This window comes from Homo sapiens, chromosome 15, assembly GCF_000001405.40.
Source record: "Homo sapiens chromosome 15, GRCh38.p14 Primary Assembly".
NCBI classification, from domain to species: Eukaryota; Metazoa; Chordata; class Mammalia; order Primates; family Hominidae; genus Homo; species Homo sapiens.
The window spans coordinates 75,235,894-75,256,478 of record NC_000015.10 but is presented as its reverse complement, the minus strand read 5'-3'; the positions used below and the strand labels follow the sequence as shown (position 1 = coordinate 75,256,478).

Here is a 20,585-nt window from a genome sequence, read left to right as displayed (position 1 = left end):
CCTCGGATGGTGAGTGTAATACTTCAGCACTAGCACCAAAGCCTCAAATATAAACAGATACCAATATCACCACTAGCAAACAAAATGAGCCCTCGGCCAGGAGCAGTAGTTCACACCTGTAATCCCAACACTTTGGCAAGCCAAGGTGGGAGGATCACTTTAAGTCAGGAGTTCAAGACCAGCCTGGGCAGCATAGTGAATTCGCATCTCTACAAAAAATCTTAAAAATTAGCTGGGGGTGGTGGCACACACCTGTAGTCCTAGCTACTTGGAAGGCTGATGTATGAAAACTGCTTCAGCTCAGGAGTACGACGCTGTGGTAGCTATGATCATGCCACTGCACTCCAGCCTGGGTGACAGAGCAAGATCTAGATAATTACAGTCTGTCCTGCTCCTGTTTATGTTAAAATGCTTTCAATCAGCAGGATAAAAATTAAGTGAAATGTGACTTGGGAGCTTGGCCAGAAAATAGGCAATGGAGAAACAGGCACTTCCCACAAGAATAAAAATGGCCAATAAGCACATAAAAATGATTCAAGGCCAGGGCCGTGGCTCACGCCTGTAATCCCAGCACTTTAGGAGGCCGAGGTGGGTGGATCACCTGAGGTCAAGAGTTTGAGACGGGCCTGACCAACATGGTGAAATCCCATCTCTACTAAAAAATACAAAAATTAGCCAGGCATGGCGGTGGGCACCTGTAATCCCAGCTACTCGGGAAGCTGAGGCAGGAGAATCGCTTGAACCCAGGAGGCAGAGGTTGCAGTTATCCGAGATTGCACTGTTGCACACCAGCCTGGGCCATAGAGCAAGACTCCATCTCAAAAAAAAAAAAAAAGTTTCAAAAGCACTAGAAACCAAAGAAATACAATGAAAACAATGAGATTTTCTCCTTAAATATCAGCAAAGAGGACAAATGGAAACGGGATACTGGAGCTCTGCCCCTGTTGGGAGTATAAACTGAACCAATTTTTCTGCAGGATAATTTGAAAATTTCTATTAAAAATCTTAAAACTATTTTATGTTATTTTTCTCCAGAAATTCTACTTCTATGACTTCAGCCCCAAAATGCTTGCTTGCGTCCATTAAAATATATATATAAGAAAATTTACTTCTGGGGTGGCAATGATTAACTTAATATACATCGAGCTTTTAAAAAGATGATGCCAAGGATATATTTACTGCCATATAAATATGCCCAAAACATAGTGACAAAAGACTATATATTACGATTCTACTTTTTAAAATGTTCATATGCATAAAAAAATATAAAAAGCAACAAACCAGAATGCTTTCAGTGGCAAAATTAAAGACTTTTCTTCATATTTTGTCTTCCAAATTATTACAAAAAGAATGCAATTTTCTTTATAATCAGGGAGAAGTATTATTTTCATTTATTTACATATAAATTTCTTTTCTTTTCCTTATTTCTTCTAATGTATGTATCACATGTACCCTAAGAGCTTGAATCCCTACTTCTTGAGGTAAATCAGACCATTTCTGTCTCTATCAACTTGCCTTTTTTGGACATTTCAAATCAATAGAATTATACAATATGTGGTCACATGTCTGGCTTTTTACTTAGCTAAGGTTTTTGAGGTTGGTCCATGACATATAACAGGTTTTGGTAGTTTGTTCCTTTCATTACTGAGTAGAAGTCCATTGATGGATATATACCACATTTTGTCAGCAGAGAACATTTAAACTTTGCTTTCAACTTCCTATGGTCTAAATGAAACCGCTGGAACACAGGACTTACAGTGAAAGCTGCTGTGCATGTCAAAAGAACTACTTATCAGAACCAGCTTTGTCATCAGGAGCCTGAACTGCTGCAGAAATTTTTATCATTTTGCAACTTCCTTTTTACAAGCAGCTTTTGTGCTATTACACATCAGGACTTTTGAAGCATCTGATACATCCATCTAATAAGTATGAGCATGTGTCTGAGTGGACAAGTACAACCATCTATGCTACACTGCATATTTTTTCCTCCCCCAGACTGGACCAGGGAATCTCTCAACTTTCTAGAGTATCCTGTCTCCATTGACAAAGCTGAACAGTATTAAAGATCCTGCTGCCTTTGTTAGGCAGATTTGGAAGGAAGGCCCAACAGCAAGGGTGGAGAGGAAAAAGAGAGGGGAGCTTGTGGAACAGGAAGCCCCCTGGGGTCTGCGCATGGCTCCCAGCTGTTGAGGATGTTGTGGATGGGGAAGTGCTGATGGTGTCCCGAGGCAAGCCTAGCACCTGCACTGGGCCCAGAAGGTCTTGACTTTGGCCCCTTACCCACGTTCCAGAAGTGTTTACAAGCTGGTTTTGCTTTTCTTCTTTTCCTAAATAATCATTACTTGGTAGTTAGTTATTAACCTTTCTTTGGGAGAGGGATGGGGCTTTAAAACTGAAGAACATAATTTTCATTCAAATATCAACAATGGAAAAAAGTTACTTTGTAAACAATTTGCTAAACAAACCAAATGGCAGCTGTTGAGAATCTCAATAAAATGTTAAATGCATTTGCTGCTGTTAGAAGAAATACAGAAAAAAAATTTTAAATAAAGAAAAAAATGCATTTGCTGGCAGTGGTACCATTTGCCCAAGGTTGGGTTGCTGTGTCATCATACTGTGGTGGGGGGTATATGTGGTGTATATGTGTGAAACTCTTCATCTCAGGATGGATCATAATGTGAGCTGAAGTTTTCCTTCCAAATAGGGTTACAAAGTAGTAAAACATGGGCTTGGATGTGACAGACCTGAGTGAATCAGCCAAGCTTAAAGAAAAACCCAATAAAATTAACTTTTAATAATCCTGAGGTTGGTTTTTGAAATAATAGATACAATGATTTACTCTAAGCATCAGGTTATGATTTTGAATCAGTAATACATACTGTCTTGACCCTTTTTTTTTAAATGGAAACAGAGGTTTCACCCAGAAAACCCCAAAACAGTGACTTTTTTTTTTTTTTAAAGACAGGGTGTCATTCTGTCGCCCAGGCTGCAGTGGAGTGGTGGATCTCAGCTCATGCAGCCTTGACCTCCCACCTCAGCCTCCCGAGTAGCTGGGACCACAGGCACCACCGTGCCTGGCTAATTACTGTATTTTTTGTACAGATGGGGTTTTGCCATGTTGCCCAGGGTGGTCTCAAACTTCTAGGCTCAAGCCGTTCACCCACTTCAGCCTCCCAAAGTGCTGTGTCTACAGGTGTGAGCCACTGTGCCCAACCTGCAGTGATTTTTTGAAATGTAAGTTCAAGCATCTCTTCTTAACTCCTTTAATTGGAGGTATCCCTTCTCTCATTCTCCTCATCTTTGGTGTTCCCCCTGAGTTCACTGCTGTCTGGATGTACAACATACGTTTCAAAGTCAAGCCTGGGTGTGGTGGCTCATGCCTATAATCCTAGCACTTTGGGAGACCAGGGCTGGCAGATCACTTGAGTCCAGGAGTTCTAGACCAGTGTGGGCAACACGGCGAAACCCTGCTTATATTAAAAATACAAAAAATTGGGCATTTCCGGGAGTGCTGCATGGAGTTGGTGTCAGCCGCTTTTGGCATGGCGGCCTTTTCCAGCCTGGCTGGGCCTATCCTGTCACTGAACCCACAGGTAGATGCTGAGTTTCAGGAGGTGGCACAGGTTTGCAAGCGCATAACCCAACGAAAAAAACAATAACAACTGGCCGGTCACGGTGGCTCATGCCTGTAATCCCAACACTTTGGGAGGCTGAGGCAAGCAGATCACCTGAGGTTGAGAGTTCGAGACCAGCCTGACCAACATGGAGAAACCCCGTCTCTCCTAAAAATACAAAAATTAGCCGGGTGTGGTGGCACATGCCTGTAATCTCAGCTACTCAGGAGGCTGAGGCAGGAGAATCGCTTGAACCCAGGAGGCAGACGTTGAGGTGAGTTGAGATCTTGCCATTGCACTCCAGCCTGGGCAACAAGAGTGAAACTCTGTCTCAAAAAAAAAAAAAAAAAAGAAAAAAAAAGAACAACTTTCTCCTGGAGTAGCCTATGTGCGCCACCTACCTAACCTACTGAATGAAACCCAGATCCTTTCCTATTTCTCCCAGTGTGGCACTGTTACAAGGTTCAGACTATCCAGAAAGAAAAGGACTGGAAATAGCAAAGGCTATGCATTTGTGGAGTTTGAGTCTGAGGATGTTGCTAAGATAGTTGCTGAAACAATGAACAACTACATGTTTGGTGAAAGACTCTTGGAGAGTCATTTTATGCCACCTGAAAAAGTACAGAAAGAACTCTTTCAAGACTGGAATATTCCATTTAAGCAGCAATCATATCCATCAGTGAAATGTATAATCAGAACCTGCACTTACACAAGAGCTACGGATGGAGGAGTGATTTAAAAAGAAAGAAGGATTACTCGAGAAGAAATTAGCTTAAAAAGGAATTGATTATGATTTTCCTTCTTTGATTTTACAGAAAATGGAAAGTATTTCAAAAACAAATCGTCAGATGTCTACAAAAGGCCAGGTTTTATGTAAGAAGAAGAAAAAGGTTTTAGGTACTCCTGACACTCCTGAGAAGACTGTGGATACCTAGGGCCCCACACCGGTTTGTACATCAACATTTTTAAAGAGATGAAAATCTGAAGTGGCTGAAATGAATGATGATGATGAAGATAATGAAATAGTTTTCAAACAGCCCGTATCCTGTGTAAAAGAAGAAATACAAGAGACTCAAACACCTACATATTCACAGAAAAGAAGACGAAGAAAAAGCAATCAGTGATTTTCAATGTATTATATGTAAGATTTCTTCTGAACAATATTTTTATGAGAAAAATACAAAAAATTAGCTGGGCATGGTTGTTCATGCCTGTAGTCCCATCTACTCGGGAGGCTGAAGTGGATCACCTGAGCCCAGGAAGTTGAGGCTACAGTGAGCCGTGATCACGCCACTGCACTCCAGCCAAGTCAAGTCATTACATTTATCTTACCTATTGTAGGCTGGCTTAAGTGGGATTTGTATTAAGAATACAATAGGCAACCTCACAGACATCCAAGTACAGAACTCAAAATACGACCACACCATGGAAGGACTGGGCTGGGAGGTGATTTTTCTCTCCTGCATGCCTTCACTCTGGACTTCTGCTCCATGCTTGTGCTTTGCTCTGCAGATGAACATATGGCATGTGCTCCAGGCTCCTCCAGCCTCTGAGGCTTTGGCTTGCCCTGGCAGTATCCCTGGTCCCAGTGTTACTGGACCTTTCCATACAGATGCGTCTCTGCAAAAAATCTATCGAACACTCTATGTGTCATTTCCACTGAGCAGGATAGAGAATCTGATCTGCCTGGCAGTGGGGCTGGGAGTTCCCTAGTTGTCCCTGGATTTGTAGTGCTGCCCTTTCCAGAGACTCGAGGAGGGGCCGGATATCCAAAAAGAGAGTGTGGGTGGGAATCAGCAATACAGTCCACTTCAACAAGAAAGTATAAAGTAGAGGCGGCGGCTCATACCTGCAATCCCAGCACTTTAGGAGGCTGAGGCAGGCAGATCACTTGAGCTCAGGAGTTTGAGACTGGGCAACATGGTAAAACCCCATCTCTACTAATAATACAAAAAATTAGCTGGGCATGGTGGCACATGCCTGTAGTCCCAGGTACTTAGGAGGCTGAAGTGGGCATATTGCTTGAGCCCAGGAAGTAGAGGCTGCAGTGAGCCGAGATCATGATGTCACTGCACCCCAGCCTGGGCAACAGAGTGGGACATTGTCGCAAAAAAAAAAAAAAAAAAAAAAGGATAAAGTGGCAGCATCTCTATGCATGATTGAAGTCATGCTTTCCATCTATTTTTTTCCACCTTTCCTTTTTTCTCTCTCAAACACTATATCTTAAGATTGTCCTCATGTTAGCAAGTACTCATAAGCATTATTTGAATGGTTGTATCATAATCCATTATCTGGACTCATTGTCATTTATCCATCTGCAGTTGCTGGAGATACTGCCCTTTCTGCCACACTCAGTCACGTTCTGACCTTTCACTGTGTCCAGTTATCTACTAATATCCATACTGGTCATTTAGGACTTAAGAACAAATAGTTATCATGGTTCCTAACACTTAAAAAGAAAGTATCTTCCTAAAAATAGGAAGGCTTTGTGGTTATGATAATTTTAAAGCAAAATAGACAAATTGATGTTGAAATTAATGTTTTGTTTTATTCTTGTATCTATTTTTCACTTCTCTGTCATTTTGATGGATAAAGTTTCAATTGGAAGGATTTTTATTTCAAAATAGAAATAGCATACGACATGAGAATGGGAACTCTGAAAGGTTTAACTTTCTAATTTACTAAGATTGTCACAAAAGCTACTGATAGTCAATCATGATTGGCCTGTATTGAAAGTGAGTTAACATTATGTACAACTTAAGCACTATACATTTTATCAGATATAGAAAAATAGGTGGTGGGTTTGGAAAAGTATTCGGCTAGGAGTCAGGGAGCTTGACTGTTAGTCCCAATCCTGCTTCTTCGGCTGAGCACCCTGAGGCAATAATTCAGCAGCTATTTCTTAAATACCTAATGAATTTCAGGCTTTGTAGTTGGGCTGGGAATATAGACATAGATACTGCATTCATGATTCTCCAAGCCTCCCTTCCTCACCCCGGTTCACAGTGAGCTTTCTTATGCATTGTGTAAATTTGTCTCCTAACCGGCCCCAAGTCTGTCTCCAACCTGCTTCCCAGGGCTGTTGTGAGGATCAAATGAGAGAGAATATGTGTGAAATCAAATTCTAAATGATTTGAAAATGTAATAGAAGTATGACCCATGGAAAATTATTTAAAGATCCTCAGAATTTTAGATAAACAGTACATTAACCTGAGTTCTCTATGGTTTGTATTTTAAATAGGTATGAAAGTTTTACAGTGGACCACTGATATGGTTGAAAATCTTGGCTTGATTTTTCTCCAAGAAAATGACACAGTGTGATTAATTTTCTAAAATTGCCAGCCAAAAAAAACCAAAACCTTTTTTGAGTTGATTGACTGGATCAGTCAAAGGAACGTTGACTGTATAATGGAGAAATGTTTTCTGTGTTCACTAAAAGCTTGCGTTTGTTTGATTCCAGCTGCAGCATATCGTGAGTGATGAGATCTGTGTGCAGGTGACTGATCTTTACCTGGCAGAAAATAATAATGGGGCCACCAGAGGCCAGCTGAACACACAGAACTCAAGGAGCCTCCTGGAGTCAACGTATCAGCGGAAAGCTGAGCAGCTAATGTCAGATAAGAATTGCTTTGAGGTGAGAGTTGCTCAGGTAGTCGAAGACCTTGCTGGTGACAATGTCAGTTGTTAGGATTCTCTGAACCAGAAGTTAAAGCCGGGGTACTTTGACCCATGATTCTACTCCTGGACCTTTTAATGAGTTCACCGGAAAAATACAAAGTGGAAGTAACTATCTTCCTGGACAATCTACTTTCTTTCTTGCCTTTAAAAAAAAAAACTCGTTATATATGATTTTTACAATTTTGTATTCTTTTTCTCTGAACATTTTTCATAGTATGCTTTGTAAATATTACTGTTAGAAAAATGTTGGTACATGAAATCCATGGTCATGATCATTATAGAAAAGAAGACAGACCCAGCACACATGGCTCACACTTGTAATCCCAGCACACTGGGAGGCTGAGGTGGGTGGATCACGTGAGACCAGCTTGGGCAACATGGCAAAACCCCATCTCTGCAAGAAATACAAGAATACAGAAATTAGCCCTGCATGGTAGCGTGCACCTGTAGTCCCAGCTACTCAGGAGACTGAGGTGGGAGGATCGCTTAAGCCTGGGAGGTCGAGACTGCAGTTAGCTCTGATCACGTCACTGCACTCCAGCCTGGGTGACAGAGGTGACCCTACGTCAAAAAAATAAAAGAAAAAAAATGCAGATAACCAAAAAAAGTCACCTTAGAATTCTTTCCTGAAATCACCATTGATGACATTTCTAGACTTTTCTATGCTTGAGTATATATTTTGAAAGAGTTTATACTGTACAAACAGTCTTTAACTTTTTCAGTTTTTGAGACAGGGTAATGCTTTGTTGCACAGGCTGGAGTGCAGTGGTGCGATCTTGACTCTGCAACCTCTGCCTCCTGGGTTCAAGCGATCATCGTGCCTCAGCCACCCTAGTAGCTGGAATTACAGGCATGTGCCACCACACCAGCTAATTTTTGTATTTTTGGTAGAGATGTGTGTCAGATCCCGGGGTCCAGGTCCAGCCCATGCTGAAGTCTGAGGAAAGGGGGTGGGTGAGCTGAAAGAACACTCAAGGGGCCGTAGGCAGGTGAAAGATAGTTTCATTCAGCAGCAGCTCTCATTAACAGCTTTCTTACACTAGCCCTCTGATTAGCAGCTTACCGTTCACCCTGTCTTGGCGGCTTGAGCCAGCTGCCCCCACACACAGCTGTGCAGCCGGCTCTCCCTTACCTTCAGGGTCAGCAGCTTAACTCTTTCTCTCTCTGGGCATGAGCAAGCCCAGCTGCATCCTGGCTCCCTCCCATCCATCGGCAAGATGGACAGCTTTGGCGTGCTCTCTCTTTCTCTGGGCACCAGTGCGCCTGCCATGTCAAGCCATGTTGAGCTGAGACCAGCCAAGCCCCCAAGAGCCATGTCTCTTATGCACAACGTCAACAGGTCAGTTATACCTTTTACATACAATAGTGGCATAAAGCCAAGCATGAACTTACACAAACAGGTTATATGACAAGTGGAGGTGTGCATTTGCACGCCAAACTCCTGAGTCACGCAGGCCTGGATATCCGCCTCAGCCTATTCCTTGACCAAAGCACATCCATGTACCTTACAGTGTGGTTTCGCCATGTTGGCCAGGCTGGTCTCAAACTCCTGGCCTCAAGTGATCTGCCCGCCTTAGCCTCCCAAAGTGCTGGGATTACAGGTGTGAGCCACTGCATCTGAACTGAAATGGTCTTTAATGTATTTTTGCTCAATTAGCAACACTTCTGGGTCTTTAATGTCTTTTTTATGGCTATTTGATATTCACTTTTTAGAGAATTAATGCCTGTATTGTTGGACATTTAGGTTGTTTCCAATTTTTCACCATTATAATGGATAATTATAAAAGCAAATAGTTGGAAACAACCTAGACGTCCAACCCACTATGGGGACTGGTTAATGACATCCTGTTACGAATACTGGAGACAGATTTTGCAATTCTTAAATTATAATTTGTGAAAATGCAGGGTCTGCCCCCCCAACCCCGAAATCTATTTTGGAAATAACTGTATTTGTGTGTGTATATATTATGTTATTGTCAGGTTGTAAGCTTTACTAGCAGAGAGCAATTTTTAAAGCTTTAAAAGAACACTGAGCTAGATCTAGCTTCTGGCTCTGTGTGTTTATTGACTAGTGGTGTGCCTTGAGAAACCAGAACTCTTCTGAATTTCAGTTTTGTCTCTGTGTAAAATGAAGAAGGTTGAAATAAAAAATTCTCAGGTTTCCTTCCAGGCTCTGGTCTTCTCCATGTGATTCTGATAGTTACCTTGTCTGCAGAAAGCCTTTAGGGTACTGAGAAGCCCAGGGTTCTGAAAGGGAGATCCACGTGCCATCACCATTGATAGTTGTTTGGTGCAAAACATGGTTTGCTTGCCTCTATTGGTGTGTTGCTTTCAAGTATGGAATTTTTTTTAATCACACAATAATATTAGTGGAGGTCAGAATTTCAGGAACTTCATATACAATTGGTGCCATTATAGCAACACTTTTTTTGTTTTGTTTTGTTTTTGAGACAGCGTCTCACTGTGTTGCCCAGGCTGGAGTGCAGCAGTATGCATGAATGCCATCAGTTTGTAGCTAACACAACAGCTCCCTGGAGGTCAAGGCATCCTGGCTGTCACTCTAGCCTTCCTACCAATTAAGTTAATTACATCCACCTTGTGGATGATGGTGAAGGGCCACCACCTGGCATCCGCTGTTCTCGCCTTCCACCGTTCCCACTGACACCACGAAGCCTGGTCTCATGGCAGCATCTCCTCTTGTCGATCCTGGCCTACCAAGGATAGTGCCACTGAGTCCCTCAAAGATTCAGGTGCCCTTCTCACTAGTGCCTTCCTTGCTTGCCTAGAGAGGGGAGTTCCTGTGAGCCCTCCAAGGGCACATAGTCAAGTGGTGGATTCCGAATCTCCTGGCATATAATGAACCATTCCAACATTCCTACCTCCCTGTACTTTCTGGCTTCTTTGACGCTTTGCAAATGCAATTCTATAATCTCCTCCTAATTCACTGCAGCAACTGTTCCGTCCACATTTCAAGGAGCCACTCCAGCACTGTGTTGGAGCCCCAGGTGTCTTTGCCAAGCCATTAAATCTTGAGAGTGCCCCCAGGTTAGTATATTCTCATGTATACAGCCTTTAGTCTCCCCCTGGTCCAACACCCTTATGTCCACTTCTTCACCTCCTCTCCTAGATTCTGCCAGTAGGCACTTGGCAGCTCCTGCATTTTTGGCAAAAAAAAAAAAAAAAAAATCATTCTCCCAGAGCAGATTGTGCCTGTGACCTTGGGCCATGATGAGAAATGACCATAGCCTGGTGTCAATGTGGGGCAGCAATGACGACACACCTCATCCTGCTGTAAGGCCTTGTTGGAGGCTCTTTGCCTAGTCTCCAGGCAAGGGGCAGCTGCCCTTCTCTTAGCAAGGAAAGGGGGCTACTTCCTTTAGACCAGAGCATTTAGTGGAAACTGGAGGTTCAAAGTTCTCAGATGTATCCACTTAAGTTTCTCCATATCAGATATCAGGATCCCTTTTCTTTTCATTTTGTTTCATTTCGTTTTGTTTCATTTCTTTTCTTTTCTTTATTTTGAGATGGGATCTCACTCTGTCACCCAGGCTGGAGTGCAGTGGCATGTTCTCAACTGACTGCAACCTCCACCTCCCAGGCTCAAGCAATCCTTCCCACCTCAGCCTCTTGAATAGCTGGGACCACAGGTGCGCAACACCATGCCTGGCTAATTTTTTGTATTTTTGGTAAAGATGGGGTTTTGCCATGTTGCCCAGTCTGGTCTCAAACTCCTGAACTCAAGAGGTCCACCCACCCTGGCCTCCTGAAGTGTTGGGTTACAAGTGTGAGCCACTGTGCCCAGCCCTTTCTTTGTCTTCTTTTTTTTTTGTTTGTTTGTTTTTTTTTTTTTTGACATGAGGTCTTGCTCTGTTACCCCGGCTGGAGTGGAGTGGTGTGATCATGGCTTGCTGCAGCCTCAACCTCCTGGGCTCAAGCAATCCTCCCACCTCAGCCTCCTGAGTAGCTGGAACCACAGGCATGTGCCACCACACCTAGCTAATTTTAAATATTTTGTGGACAGGGTCTACCTATGTTGCCCAGGCCGGTCTCCAGCGCCAGGTCTCAAGCATGCAGCCGTGCTGCTGCTGATGATCCAGGAACCAGATTTGGAGAACTTTGTTCTAGCGCTACTGCATCAGCAATGCCTGCCCTTCCACCTGTACCATATCCCAATCCACAGTAGGTGAGTTTCCTAGTGATGGTATTGCTATAGCCCACCAGCACATCACTACCCCACTTACCACCAACAATGGATCCTGTTGCCACCTGATTAGTGAGTTCCAGGATCCTGTCCTAAAAGTCTACTCTCTAGGGCTACTTTTTAAAATTTTTAAAAAATTTTTATTTTATTTTTATTATTATTTTTGAGATGGAGTCTCGCTCTGTCACCCAGGCTGGAGTACAGTGGCATGATCTCAGCTCACTGCAACCTCCACCTCCCAGGTTCAAGTGATTCTCCTGCCTCAGCCTCCCGAGTAGCTGGGACTACAGCCACATGCCACCATGGCTGGCTAATTTTTGTATTTTTAGTAGAGATAGGGTTTCACCATATTGGTCAGGCTGGTCTCAAACTCCTGACATCAGGTGATTCACCCACCTCAGCCTCCCAAAGTGCTGGGATTACAGGCATGAGCCACCACACCTAGCCCAAATATCTTTATTTTGTCTTCTTATCTGACAGATATTTTCACTAAGAATGGAACTTGAGGCTGGCAGTTATTTTCTTTTGGTACAGTGAAGGTGTCATTCCATGGTCTTCTGGTTCCTGAGGTTTCTGTTGACTGACAGCCTAATTGTTGCTCCTTTGAAGGCAATCTGAATTTTTTCTCAGATACTCTTTTTTGGTAGGGGACCAAAAAAAGGGGTCATGCACTACCAAAGTGCTGGATTACAGGGTCTCACTTTGTCACCCAGGCTGAAGTGCAGTGGTGCAATCTCAGCTCACTGCAGCCCAGACCTCCTGGTCTCAAGCAATCCTTCGACCTCAGCACTTCAAGTAGCTGGGACTCCAGGCATACACCACCACACTTGACTAATTTTTTCTATTTTTTGTAGAGACAGGGTTTCACCATGTTGCCTAGGCCAGCCTTTAACTCCTGAGCTCAAGCAAACCACCCACCTCAGCCTCTCAAAGTGCTGGCATTACAGGCATGAGCCAACATGACTGGCTCGGATACTTTTAAGATTAAAGAAAGTTTTTGCCTTTGGCTTTCTGCAATTTTACCATAACGTGTCTAGGTGTACTATTATTTTTATTTGTCCTGCTTGGGGTTCATGAGGCTTCTTAAATCTGTGAACTATTGTTTTTCATAATTTAAAAAGTATTCTCTGTCATTATTTTTTTAAAATATTGCTTCTGCCTCATTATCTCTTTCTATCCCTTTATTTATTTATTTTGAGACAGGGTCTTGCTCTGTTGCCCAGGCTGAAGTGCTCACTGCAGCCTAGAGCTCCCAGGCCCAAGAGATGCTCCCAGATCAGCCTCTCTAGTAGCTGGGACCACGGGCGTGCACCACCACACCTGGCTAATTTTCGTATTTTTTGTAGAGTCGGGGTTACACCATGTTGCCCAGGCTAGTATTGAACTCCTGGGCTCAGGCGATCTGCCTGCTTTGGCCTCCCAAAGTGCTGGGATTCTGTGAGCCACTGCGCCTGGCCCCTCTTTCCTTTTTTTCTGGGATGCTGATTAAAGGTATATTTGGCCTAGTCAAATATGTGGTGGTGTGCACCTGTAGTCCCAGCTACTTGAAGGGCTAAGGTGGAAGCATTGCTTGAGCCCAGGAGATCCAGGCTGCAGTGAGCTGAGATCGCACCACTACACTCCAGCCTGGGTGACAAAGTGAGACCCTGTAATCCAGCACTCTGGGAGTGTATGATCCCTTTTTTGTCCCCCCGCAACCCCAGAAGTATCTGAGAAAAAATTCAGGTTGCCTTCAAAGGAGCAATAATTAGGCTGACAGTCAACTTCTCAACAGAAACCTCAGGAACCAGAAGACCATGGAATGACACCTTCACCGTACCAAAAGAAAATAACTGCCAGCCTCAAGTTCCATTCTTAGCGAAAATATCTGTCAGATAAAAAGGCAAAATAAAGATATTTGGGCCAGGTGTGATGGCTCACGCCTGTTATCTTAGCACTATTTTTTTTTTTAAATGACAAAATATTTTTAAATTATGAAAATATATCTCTAGAGGATCCCTAGTGTATCCTCTGTATCACTTACTTTCTCTTCTGTGTGTTTTATTTTTTTTGTCCCTTCATGTTTCATTCTGAATATTTTCTTCTGAATTACTAGGTTGGTGAAAAAGTAATTGCAGTTTTTGCCATTTTATTTTATTTTATTTTATTTTATTTTTTTGAGATGGAGTTTCACTCTGTCGCCCAGGCTGGAGTGCGGTGGCACAATCTCAGCTCACTGCAACCTCCACCTCCTGGGTTCGAGCAATTCTCCTGCCTCAGCTTCCTGAGTAGCTGTGATTACAGGCTTGTGCCACCACTCCTGGCTAATTTTTGTATTTTTAGTAGAGATGGGGTTTCACCATGTTGGCCAGGCTGGTCTTGAACTCCTGACCTCAGGTGATCTGCCCACCTCTGTCTCCCAAAGTGCTGGGATTACAGGCATGAGCCACCGCGCCTGGCCAGCCATTACTTTCAATATCTTCCAGTTCATTAATTCTCTCTCAACTGTGTCTAATTGGCTCTGGAAACCATGAATGGAATTATTAATTTTAGTTATTGTATTTTGTCTTTCTTTCTTTTTCTAAGAGAGAGCCTTCTTCTACCACCCAGGATGGAGTGTAGTGGTGCGATCATAGCTCAATGTAACCTCAAACTTCTGGGCTTAGGTGATTCTCCCGCCTCACCCTCCTGAGTAGCCAGACCTATAGGCACAGACCACCAGCTGGTCTCAAATTCCTGGGCCTCAAGCAGTAACCCTGCCTCGGCCTCCCAAAGTATTGGGATTATAGGCATGAGCCACTGAGCCCCAAGTTAATGCTATTGTACTTTTCAATTTAGAATTTACTTTTTAAATACCTGTGGTGCTATTTTTTTTGTAGTTTTCTAAACTCTTGCATCTTATATTTTACTTCCTTGAACATATTAAGTATAGTTATTTTGTAGCCTGTGTCTGATTCCAATATCTGGAATCTCCGAGCATGTTTCTATCGTTGCTTCTTTCTGATAGTTCTTGGTTCATGTTGTGTTGTGTCCTACTGAGTCTAGCTACCTTAGTTGTGTGCCAAACATTTTTTAAAAATCAGTTTGTAATGCTTTGAGGCTTACGATAATGTTGTCTTCCTCCAGAGACAATTCTGTTTTCCCATTCCACATACCTGAATACACTAGCAATCCAAAAATTTTAAATTCAATTTTGGGGATTGAGGCCGGGTGCGGTGGCTCACACCTGTAATCTCAGCACTTTGGGAGGCCAAGGCGGGTGGATCACCTGAGGTCAGGAGTTCGAGACCAGCCTGGCCAATATGGTGAAACCCCATCTCTACTAAAAATACAAAAAAATTAGATGGGCATGGTGGCAGGTGACTGTAATCCCAGCTACTTGGGAGGCTGAGGCAGGAGAATCACTTGAACTTGGGAGGTGGAGGTTGCAGTGAGCTGAGATTGTGTCACTACACTCCAGCCTGGGCAATAGAGTGAGACTGTCTCAAAAATAATAATAATAAAATAAACATAAAAAACTGGGGGAATTGCGACTCAAAGCTGGACTGCAGTCTCTGCGAGGTTCAGTTTACTTTCAGAATACCCTAACTCTCAAGGTACAGCCTTTCATTGTCCCCACCTTATGGTCTGTGGGTTTATGAGAGCTACACACAATACCCTGCCCCAGGCTTTGGCAGTCCCTGGACTCAAACTTTTGTCCCCATTGCACCTAGACGCTGTTCAACATGTACTGCCCAGCTTCTCAGCTGCCTTTTTAGAGGTGGGGAACAACCGCATGTGAAAAGTAGCTCCGAGTACTGAGTTACCTCTCTGGATTGCTGTCTCTTCCTGTGTCTTAGTCTAGAAATTCTTCACTATTGTGTTAACTCTTTGATGCCTTCAAACAGATTTTGGGGTTTTTTTTGTAGCCAGTTTTTATTAAAGGTAAAAATTGCACAGCTTTTCCCATTTTTTTCCTTGGTTAAGTCTATTCATACTGCCTGCTCCTTGAGTCAGAAGCAAAAGCATGGAGGTAGGAATGAGCCTGGGAAGAATGAGGGGTACCCTCATCTAGAGTGAAAGGTGTTCACTCCAGACATGCAGAACGGTAAAGAAAATTATGAAAGGCCAAGAAGGCTTGGAAGGGTAGGCTGACTGGAAGGGAATGCCTGTCCACTGACTGCCCTCCGCCTCCACTGAGTGAGTCCTACTTACGTTGGCTGAGTTGAGTGCTGCCAAGGTGGGGCAGGGGTGCGTGTCAGGCAAGACTTCTGCCCTGCGTGGATGTATAACTCAGGCGAGGACAGGGAAGAACAGAAAGCCCCAAATAATAGTGGCTCAAATGAGAGAGAAGTTTATTTCTCTCTCACACCAACACAAGTCTGAAGGTGGCAGTTCACAATTGGTAAGGTGACTTAACAAGGATGTCTAGTGCACTTACAGCCTCATGACACTTTATCCTATTGGCTAGAACTGCGTCACACAGGCACACCGACCTACAAGGGAGGCTGGGGAATATAGTCTTTATTCTGGAGCACCATGTGCCCAGTTAAAAAGCAGGAACACTGTTACTAATTAAGGATGTGTTAAAAGATAAACCTGGCCAGGCACAGTGGCTCATGCCTATAATCCCAGCACTTTGGGAGGCTGAGGCAGGCAGATCGCTTTGAGGTCAGGAGTTGAGACCAGCCTGGCCAACATGGCGAAACCCCGCCTCTACTGAAAATATAAAAATTAGCTGGGCGTGGTGGGACATGCATGTAATCTCAGCTACTTGGGAGGCTGAGACAGGAGAATCCCTTGAACCTGGGAGGTGGAGGTTGCAGTGAGCCAAGATCGTGCCATTGCGTTCCAGCCTGGGGGACAAGAGCGAAATTCCGTCTCAAAAGAAAGAAAGAAAGAGAGAGAGAGAGAGAGAGAGAGAGAGAGAGAGAGAGAGAGGGAGGGGGGGGGAGGGAGGGAGGGAGGGAGAGAGAGAGGGAGGGAGGGAGGGAGGGAGGGGGGGAGAGAGAGAGAGAGAGAGAGAGAGAGAGAGAGAGAGAGGGAGAGAGAGAGACCTAAGCACTTAGAATTTTAGGAGTTGGAGCAGACAGTGATTCAAGAATCAGGCAGTGCCAGACAGCGAGTGGTTTGGAGCTCGAGGGGAAAGCTTGTATAAGGTGCACACAAAAGCAAGGCAAAGAAAACATTTGATTGGTTAAAGTGGAGCAGTGGCCTTAATGTCCTTAGAAGTCAGTTGGTGGTTTCTGATTGGTGAAGTCCCTAGTTAGTGATTAGTGGGTGATTTCTGATTGGTGAAGTCCCTAGTTAGAGGTTAGTTGGTGGTTTCTGATTGGTAAAATCCCTATAGGACAGTTGGTGTTTTCTGATTGGTGAAGTCCCTAGTGAGAGGTTAGTTGGTAGTTTCTGATTGGTGAAGTCCCTAGTTAGAGGTTAGTTGGTGGTTTCTGATTGGTGAAGTCCCTAGATAGAGGTTAGTTGGCAGTTTCTGATTTTGTAAAATTTTGTTTTCTAGGATATGGCTGTTCATGATGAGTGGGGTTTCAGTTTGCTTACAAAAGAACCTAGGGTATGGCCAGGCATGGTGGCTCATACCTGTAATCCTAGCATTTTGGAAAGCTGAGGCAGGAGGATCACTTGAGGCCAGGAGTTCAAGACCAGCCTGGGCAACAGAGCGAGACCCTGTTTCAATTTTTTTTAATAATAAAAAAAAGAACTCAGAGTACTATAGCCACCTCAGTCATGCTCCCAATTAATTATTTTAATAAGAGGATTACTTGGGGACAACTAGTGATCTCTGCTAGTCCCTCTCCTCTCCTCCCTTGTCTTCTCTTCCTCGAGGAAGCCTGCCCTGACATCTCCAATACTTCCTAAGTCCCTCTTCTTCTGCCCCACAGCTCAGAGAGACAGACCACTGTAAGAAAATTTGGAATAAGAAAAAAACATTATTGGATGTCTCCAATGGAAAACTGCATTGTTTCAATTAGAGCCCACCCTTCTGACTAATGATTCTAGCCCTTCATTGCCTTCTAGCTGTTTTACAACTCTGTACCTTGCAGATGACAGATCGCAATGCAAAATCATTCATCTCTATAATCATGCAAGTAAATGGTCCAGTGGAGGTTAAATTGACTCCCTCCCCCAAGTAAAAAAGCCAGCTTTATATATCTGTTTGTAAATTTATTTCAACATTCCTTGACTCCATATAAATATATGCTTCTTTGACTTCTCCTTTGAACTGGTTGTAACATCTCCAGGTTCCCTCGTTAATAATGAGTTAAATACAATCTTTTACATATGTTCAATTTTTATCTATATGAGAATCAAGATTTTCCTTTCTTAAAAAAATGATCTTTCAACACCATGCATAGAGGATCCAGGCAGAGGCTCTAGCAGGACAGATACCAGCCTGGCCTGAGAGCTCAGGAGGAGTGAGTGACATTGGGTGTCAGGGCCCTGACCAGGAAGAAGTGCCTTTGGAGATAAAGGGAAAGTCTTGGTTTTGGGGCCGAGTTTCCTGCCTGGGACACCATTATTCCCAGGGAGAAGGGACAGGCAGCCAGTGGGACTAAGGCTGGGCAGGGAGGCAGGTAGTCTGCCTCGTTCAGCGGGGACATCCACTCATCCCTGCCCCCAACAGTGGCTCACAGACCAATTCCGATCCTGTCAACCTGCTTGGAAGATGTGTGTGACATCCATTCTCGATATCTGGGTGATGAGGCAGTGAGCAGGGCTGTAAACCCAAGACCCTTCCCAGGCCCTCAGAGAGCCTTGACTGGGTCCCTGGGTTAGGGAGGGAACTGGAGGGCTCTGGCATGTGACCAGAGGGATGGGGGAGAGATGGGACTGTGAGCACTTCCTGGTCCACCCAGCCCCAGGACTGAGGTCAGCAAGGCAGGCTGCAGCTGAAGCACCGAGGCCTTGAATGCCACATGGAGAATTCAGAATTTGCAGACGATGTGCAGGGTCCCAGGTTCCCCAACCCTTTCTTCCCTGTTCTTCCTGTGAGCCCCAAGTTCTGTCCTGATCAAGGGGCCTGGGCCCCCAGACCTTCAGAGCACTTCTCTCTGATGAGTAAGGTAACAGATAGGAGATTAAGGTCTGGATCTGGCAGGCACTTGCCAAGGGCCACACAGGAGAGTAAGATGGAATGCCGCCCCGCCTCCACCGGAGCTTGGGCTGGGAGGCAGGAAAGAGCAGGCCAGCCTGGCCCCCCATCCCTGCAGCTAGGGAAGCCTGCCCTGGAAGGTACACAGGCAAAGTGCATCATCTGCTGGCCCCATGGCCCGTTTGTCTAGGCAAATGTCTTCCTGGCTCAGCCCCCGAGTGACCTGCTTCTGTTCTGCTCCTCCCCTTGGGGCCCCACCTTGCCCGCTGCCCCCCACTACTCTCCAGGACCCTTTGGGGTTCCACACAGCCCCTCCTCTGGCCCTGGAGGAGGGATACAGGATGAGCCTCGTGCAGCCCCCTCCTCCTGCCCCAGGGAGCCAAGTGGAATGGAGCAGCTGGGAAGCCACGGCCCTGAACGGTCAGTGGGAGAAGGGTCCCCTCTGTGCTCAGCTGTGCAGGGAGGCGCATGGAGGGGTGTGGAGAGGGGCAGGACTCTACCATGGAACAGCAGGGTGTAACTGCACCTGGACTGCAGGCCTAGCAAGGCTCTGGAGCTCAGAGGAGAAGGGGAATGCTGTCGTGGACTAGAGGGCCAGGGAGGCCCTGGCCCAGGGGGCTGAAGCTGGCTCATGACAGAAGGAATATCACCCAACCCTCGGGGCCCAACCCCCATCCTGTCCTGGACACTGTGGCTGTTTTCAAAGTATTATTGTTGAAACATTTATTGATGTGAGGCCAGAGTTCCCATCCAATTTATTTCAGGTATCAGGATGGGTTATTTCAGGTCTTCAGATGCCCTCTGATGAGAGGGTAGGGCAGGGGAAGAACAGTGTGAGAGAGAGCCTAGGTCTAGCCTGGCAAGCATTCAAATTCCAGACTCGCCTACCCCTGACCCCACACTGAGCCCTGACACTTGTCACAGACTCAGCCCTGATCCTGGCCATTCTCTGAGCCCTGATCTTAGACATAGACTGAACCCTGACCCTGGCCCACAGAGAGCCTGGATCTCCAGTTCTTGGTTGAGTTTTCTCCAAAATTGTCCTTGGTCAGGACAGGGTGTTGGTGGGAAAAGGGAGCGTGTGCCTGGCTTCCTGCATCACCTCCCCACTCCTGGATCCTGAGCCCTCTGCCCGATGGCATGGAATGGCCTTCAGGTGTGTTTCTGTCCCTTATCACTCATCATGTCCCAGGGAGCTGCTGCTTTCCCCACTGTTGCCAAGCAGGCCTCAGCACTGACAGACTCTCGGCAGAGGCCCAGCAATGCCAGAGCCCTGCCCCCCAGCTTTGGCTCCAGCCGGCCTGATCTGGAGGGTACAGGAGATGAGGACCCAGTGTCCTAGGGTGTGGGCAGAGCCATCAGAGAGCAGATCTTCCTGGCCCTGAGTGTGCCAGGGAAAGGGGTGGCCCTTCCAGGCCCAGCAGGGGTTGGGCAGAGGGTGCTGATGCTGCTTTCACCCTGCCTCTGTGGGACACCAGCGCCTCCACAGACAGAGGCTTCTCAGCAGCACCAGGTCCACCAGGTGAGACCTGGGCATCCTGGGGGCACAGGGAAGGGAGGCAGAATGGGGGTGCTAGAGTGGGTTGGCTGGCCTGGAGATGGGGTCACGGGCCCCTAGATGGGTGGCCTGTGGAAGGGCTTGGGGGAGAATGGGGCCAATGAAACCAGGACTCGAGGTAGAAGTTGCCAAAGGCCCAAGCCTCCCTCCCTGTCGTTGGGAAGCCATCCGTCCCCACCCCGACCTGGCCAGGCTGGCCCCTTAACAGCTTCTCCCAGAGGAGCCAGGAAACAGCGGAGGATGCAAGGTTTCCAAACAGATGAGTTGTGGTGAACTGGGAGGAAGAGGGGCTGCTTTGGGAGGTGTGTACAGCCTGGGTTACAGGCCTTGCGGTGGAGGGGTGGGTTGTGGAGGATTGCTTTCCCCAACCCTTGGAAAATAGCTCCAACGGGGAGGGGAGACAGCCCTGCCCCCCAGCTTTGGCTCCAGCCAGCCTGATCTGGAGGGGACAGGAGATGAGGACCCAGG

The 20,585-nt window shown here is 45.6% G+C and overlaps 1 pseudogene, besides 3 other annotated features; it reads left to right on the top strand.

The window, feature by feature from the left end:
• Nucleotides 1,926–2,454: an enhancer, noted in NCBI's record as "OCT4-NANOG-H3K27ac hESC enhancer chr15:75546366-75546894 (GRCh37/hg19 assembly coordinates)". NCBI's record gives its function as "activates a minimal SCP1, AML or CMV promoter by ChIP-STARR-seq in primed H9 embryonic stem cells {active_cell/tissue: H9 hESC(primed)}" and the evidence as "EXISTENCE:reporter gene assay evidence [ECO:0000049][PMID:30033119]".
• Nucleotides 3,521–4,788, top strand: NIFKP4 (NIFK pseudogene 4; annotated as a pseudogene).
• Nucleotides 18,091–18,707: an enhancer, noted in NCBI's record as "H3K4me1 hESC enhancer chr15:75530113-75530729 (GRCh37/hg19 assembly coordinates)". NCBI's record gives its function as "activates a minimal SCP1, AML or CMV promoter by ChIP-STARR-seq in primed H9 embryonic stem cells {active_cell/tissue: H9 hESC(primed)}" and the evidence as "EXISTENCE:reporter gene assay evidence [ECO:0000049][PMID:30033119]".
• Nucleotides 18,708–19,325: an enhancer, noted in NCBI's record as "H3K4me1 hESC enhancer chr15:75529495-75530112 (GRCh37/hg19 assembly coordinates)". NCBI's record gives its function as "activates a minimal SCP1, AML or CMV promoter by ChIP-STARR-seq in primed H9 embryonic stem cells {active_cell/tissue: H9 hESC(primed)}" and the evidence as "EXISTENCE:reporter gene assay evidence [ECO:0000049][PMID:30033119]".